Raw genomic sequence first — 6,038 nt, 5'->3', positions numbered from 1 at the left:
CTATCTACTTTTTTATTAAGTCTCATAAATGTGATATCTGTTATTTTGACTAAGAATAGCATTTTTGTGAGGTCCTACTGATTTTTCTTATATATCAGACTGCCAGCTATTATGGATATGACTTCAAACATTTCAAATTATACTTGGGAGCACCACTGTGATCTGAAATTAACTTTTAAAAATGTGAAAGGAAATAAAGCACTTCCAGAGCATGAAAATTTTAGTCTGAGTCATGTTGTTTCCACCTAAAATAATGTTTATATCATATAAATACTTTAATACTTTAATATAAATACTTTAACTTAATTTTTTTAGCACATTGCTAACCTTTCCACATCAACATTTTTTAGCCTGATTATAAGCCAAAGAGTACAGGACAAAGCTTTAGCAGGCTTAATTCAAGTTCCCAGAAAAATATTATGAGCAAAAAATGGTTGCTTCAAGTCATGGACTTTAGCAAGGAATAGATGGTCAAAAGGGTAAACACCCAAAGAGACAGTCAGTAGGATGAGGCCACATGTTAACAGTACCAGAGGCCAAGACAAACAAAAGTTCAGGAATCAACAAGAGGCCAAGTGGTTAATCTGTTGGCCATTCACATGCAGATCTGTCTAACACCAACACCTTGCTGCCATTTCCATTACACTGCATTGCCTGATAGAGTTAACAGATATCAAGGAAAACTATATCTTCCAACAGCATTCATTTTTCCAAAAACAAATTTGATTTCAAATGATAGTGCAACATAATGCTAACTCCACTATGAGAAAAATGCTTAAAACGTATTTTCAACCATAAGAAATACATTCTAAGCATATTTAGATGATAATAAAAGTTACTGAACTTTGATAAATGGGTATAGCCTTCTCAAACTCCTAAGCAAAGTAAACTACATTTCATACTGAGAAATGGTTAGGCCAGTTATCTTTTAATATACAAACTAAGGCAAGTGACATAACAGTTGACTATCTCCTTTTAGGAGATAGTGCTGTTTTACAGCACACTAAAAGTGAAAATAAAATGAGCCAAGTACCATGATTTTGCTATTTACAAAGAAACAAGAGGCTTAAGAATTTTAATTGGTCATTTAACTAAAAGTAGCTAACCAAATATTTTTATGTTGTACCAACATGGTGGTGTAATTTTTATTTATTTAATTATTATTATTATTATACTTTAAGTTCTGGGATACATGTGCAGAACATGTAGGTTTTTTACATAGGTATACATGTGTCATGGTGGTTTGCTGCACCCATCAACCAGTCATCTACATTAGGCATTTCCCCTAATGCTATCCCTCCCCTAGCCCCCCACCCCCTGACAGGCTCCGGTGTGTGATGTTTCCCTCCCTGTGTCCATGTGTTCTCATTGTTCAACTCCCACTTATGGGTGAGAACATGCCATGTTTGGTTTTCTGTTCCTGTGTTAGTTTGCAGAGAATTATGGTTTAAGTCTACTGATATTATAAATCAGTTACAAAACTCAGCAAACATAATGAGCTAAAACTTAGACAAACACCCATTGGCCTCAACATTTGTAAATGTCATTAAACATTGGTGGTCTCTGAAGCTCAATTTTTCTCTCCACTGAAATGCAGAGAACTGACATGTTTTTCTCCTTCATAATATTATATATTCAGAACAAAAATGTTTAAAATTCTAAGAACTCAATCCATATTAAGAAGCTATGCAGTTCAGTGTTTGTGAGGTGCTGACAGAAGTAAAGAATAACTTTCTTATTTTTCTGGAGCTCATATGCTAAACCAACAACACATGAACAATTGAGGAAAATTTAATACTAATCTGGTTGATTCATAATTGAGACCCATATTGACTTCTACGGTCAGAGACATCTTTATAGGGAAGATGCACGTTAACATGGACTCAGATATGGATCGGATTTCAACTAGGTCAAAGGGAGAAAATTTTTAGGCAAAAGTAGCAGGTAAAAATAATGTAAAAAATCATAAACTCATAAAATGATGGTGAAAGGGGCCCAGTGCTGCCACAAGAGAACCAAGTAGTAGCAGCATTTTTTGATTTCCCTCCTGGAGACCTTTATCTCACCTTGATAAAGAAAGGTTGCATACTATGAGAAAAGAATTCAAAGAATCAAGTAGAAGGTGCTGATTGGAGGTAAGAATCACTCAGCCAGCGGGGCACGGTGGCTCACGCCTGTAATCCCAACACTTTGGGAGGCCGAGGCGGGCGGATCACGAGGTCAGGAGATCAAGACCATCCTGGCTAACACGGTGAAACTCCGTCTCTACTAAAAATAAAAAATAAAAAAAAAAAATTAGCCGGGCCTGGTGGTGGGCGCCTGTAGTCCCAGTCGCTCGGGAGGCTGAGGCGGGAGAATGACATGAACCCGGGAGGCGGAGCTTGCAGTGAGCCGAGATGGCGCCACGGCACTCCAGCCTGGGCGACAGAGCGAGACTCTGTCTCAAAAAAAAAAAAAAAAAAAAAATCACTCAGCCTACTTCCATTCTCCGTGTTGCCTCTCTCATGCTCATCCTTTCTGAATTGTAATTTTTCTAAAGGATGAAAAAATCCTCAATAATGATGAGCACAAATCTGTATCTAATCAGAACAGCAACATTAATTTAAAAGATAGTGTATGCCTCCTTCTTCTTGAAGAGAAACAGCAAACATACTACAGTCTTGCACAGCACAACGTTTCAATCAACGATGGCACACAGATATGACAGTGATGTCTTAGCATTATAATAGAGCTGAAACATTTCTATTGCCTTGTGACATCATAGCCATTGTAATATCACAGTGCAATGCATTGCTCACATGTTTATGGTGATGTTGATGTAAACAAACATATTGCACTTCCAATCATAAAGCACATTACCATCATGTACTGTATATTATACTTGATAATGATAATAAATGACTATTTACTGGTTTGTGTATTTACTATACTATGCTTTTATTGTTATTTTAGAGTATACGCCATCTACTTTTTTTTAAAGTTAACTATAAAACAGGCTGAGGCAGATCCTTCAGGAGGTATTCCAGAAGACATTGTTATCATAGATAATAGCTCCAGGCATGTTACTGCCCCTGAAGACCTTCCACTGGGACAAGATGTTGAGGTGGAAGACAGTGAAATTGATTATCCTGATCCTTTGTAGGCCTAGGCTATTGTGTGGGTTTATGTCTTAGTTTTTGACAGAGAAAATTAAAATGTAAAAAAAAAAAAAGAAATAAAAATTGAAAAAATGGACAAGTGTTTATAGAAGAAAGATAAAGAAAATGTTTTTGCGCAGTGTGCAATGTGTTAGTGTTTTAAGCTAAATAGCATCACAAAAATTTTAAGAGTTTTACAAATTAAAGTTTATAAAGCAGAAAAGTTACAGTAAGCTAAGGTTAATTTATTGTTGAAGGAAAAATGTTTTTTATAAATTTAGTGTAGCCTAAGCGTACAGTGTTTATAAAGGCTACAGTGGTGTACAGTAAAGCCCTAGGCCTTCACGTTTACTCACCACTCAATCACTGACTCACCAGAACAACTTCCACTTCTACAAGCTCCGTTTATGTTAAATGTTTGTATTACTCAAGGTTCTCTAGGGCAACACAACTAGTAGGATATATGTATATCTGAAAGGGAGTTTATTAAGGAGAACTGACTCACGTGATCACAAGGTGAAGTCCCACAATAGGCCGTCTGAAAACTTAGATGCAAGGAAACCAGTAGTAGTTCATTCAGAGTCCCAAAACCTCAAAAGTAGAGAAGCCAACAGTGTAGGCTTCAGTCTTTGGCCAAAGGCTTGACAGCCCCTGGCAAATCAGTGGTGTAAATCCAAGAGTTCAAAAGCAGAAGAACTTGGAGTCTTATGTTCGAGGGCAGGAAGCATCCAGCACCGGAGAAAGATGAGGTTGGAAGACTCAGCAAGTCTGCACTTTCCATCTTCCTCTGCCTGCTTTTTCTACCCATGCTGGCAGCCGATTGGATGATGCCCACCCAGATTGAGGGTGGGTCTGCCTCTCCCAGTCCACTGACTCAAATGTCAATCTCCTCTGGCAACACCCTCAGAGACATACCCAGAAACAATACTTTGCATCCTTCAATCCAATCAAGTTGACACTTAATACTATCACAGTGTCCTATATATGTATACCATTTTTTATGTTTCATACCATATTTTTACTGTACCTTTTCTATGTTTAGATATATTTAGGTACACACATACTTATGATAGTGTTACAATTGCCTACAGAATCCTGCACAGTAACATGCTGTACAGGTTTGTAGCCTAGGAGCAATAGGCCATACCATATATAGCCTACATGTTTAGTAAGCAACACCGTCTAAGTTTTTGTAAGTACATTCTGTGATATTCATAAAACAACAAAATAGTCTAACGCGTTTCTCAGAATATATCCCCACCATTAAGCAATGCATGACTGTATATCTGAATTCACTAAAAATTAAAGGAAAAAGTCAGTATGCTTTTCATCTGCAGCTTCCCAAATATGATTGGGTTGCATGAGCAAAGGAATATGAAGCTACTTAGTTTGAGGTACAAAGGAAGCTATGATATTATTTTTATATTTTTTGACACTTGCCATAGACAGTCAATTTCAATATGCGATCAAGTCTTTCTACAGTGAGACTAGAGAACAGTGAGAAAACCTAGAAGATCAAGGGACAATAGGATCAGTAAGCACTGTGACCTGCATTGCCCCTGCTCCCCACTGGAGATGTTCCAAGGTAATAAGTAGCAGGTTTGCAGAATTACAGCCACCACACTGACCAATCCTTATGCAGAATTGCCGTGATAAGTTTTATTTCAGAATATTATATGACAGAGCATATAAACTGAAAAATATTAGTATGCCAATATGAAAAGAGACTGTATTTAAGATCCAAGATAACAGAAAGCAATATAATAGTGGTTGGGCAAAGGACAGACTGTAATTACATTAAATAATAATAATGATCTGTCATACCGAATATAGGCAAATTCTGAAGTTTTTTTGCACAATCAAATGATATATTAAATATACTAGCTATACCTGTGGGAAATCTTATGCTGGTTTTGTCTTATCTGAAGACTCTGGCACTTCTAATTTTTGTAATTATTTTCCTGCGAGTTGGATTTTTTCTTTCTCTATAATATTATTATTTTTTTATTTCCCTTTCCCCTTTTCCATTCTCTCTAGGGGTGTGACTCTACTGAATGCTGGGAAGGGTCTTTTGGCTTTCTTTCTATAGTCCTATGCATTTCTTTTGCAGGTTTCATATTGGGCTGTGCGATTTCACCTACCAACCCATAGGTAAGAGCTGGCTGCGGCCAGCATGGCTGGATATGTGCTTAATCCTTGTTTACTGGCAGAAGCTCTCTGTTGCCTCTGACAATGGGTTAATTTGTGGAATGCACAGTGGTCTGAACTCCCTGCTCAGTCCCAGGTGGGGTGAGGTGGGTTGGGGAGGCACAAAGGGCAGGCAGGCCAAACTGGGCAGGTCCCCCTGCAGGTCCCCTGATGGCAGGCACAAGCACCAATGCCAAGGGAGAATCCAGTGAGCAACCACTGAGTACCCAGGTGCGTACCTAGGTACAGAGCTGAGAAAGCTCCTCAGTTCTAAGTTCTCCACACAGGGAGGGGGGCGGGTGGGCTAAACTCTTAGATCAAGAGAGGGAATGCTCCAGATGCCTGGAAATCTGCCTGGGTATGGAACAGAGAGAGTGCCCTTGCACCAAGATCTCTGCACAGGAAATGTGGCATGGCTCAGGCTGCTGAATTAGGCAAGCAGGTGCTTCAAATGCCTGGAGATCTGCCTGGTCATGGAGCAGAGAGAGCCCCACTGCACCAAGATCTATGTCCACCGTGATCTATGCCCTGTTGCACCATGCTTTCAGGGGAGCAGGCTGGGCACCCAGCAATGGCACATGCAGATCAATTCCAAGTAGCCAAGCTGACCCTGGGTGTGAGTCTGGCCACCCAGAAGAAAATGCACTTGTAGCAGCTCTCCTTCCACCCCAGGTCTGCGATGGGGGAGAACACAATTCCATTGCCTGCTGCTGA

The 6,038-nt window shown here is 39.2% G+C and overlaps 1 annotated feature.

The window, feature by feature from the left end:
• Nucleotides 281-872: an enhancer, noted in NCBI's record as "OCT4-NANOG hESC enhancer chr18:25867001-25867592 (GRCh37/hg19 assembly coordinates)". NCBI's record gives its function as "activates a minimal SCP1, AML or CMV promoter by ChIP-STARR-seq in naive and primed H9 embryonic stem cells {active_cell/tissue: H9 hESC(naive and primed)}" and the evidence as "EXISTENCE:reporter gene assay evidence [ECO:0000049][PMID:30033119]".

The sequence above is a fragment of the Homo sapiens genome, chromosome 18 (genome assembly GCF_000001405.40).
Source record: "Homo sapiens chromosome 18, GRCh38.p14 Primary Assembly".
NCBI classification, from domain to species: domain Eukaryota; kingdom Metazoa; phylum Chordata; class Mammalia; order Primates; family Hominidae; genus Homo; species Homo sapiens.
Note: the sequence above shows the minus strand (reverse complement) of the source record. Positions and strands in the feature narration are given on the sequence as shown.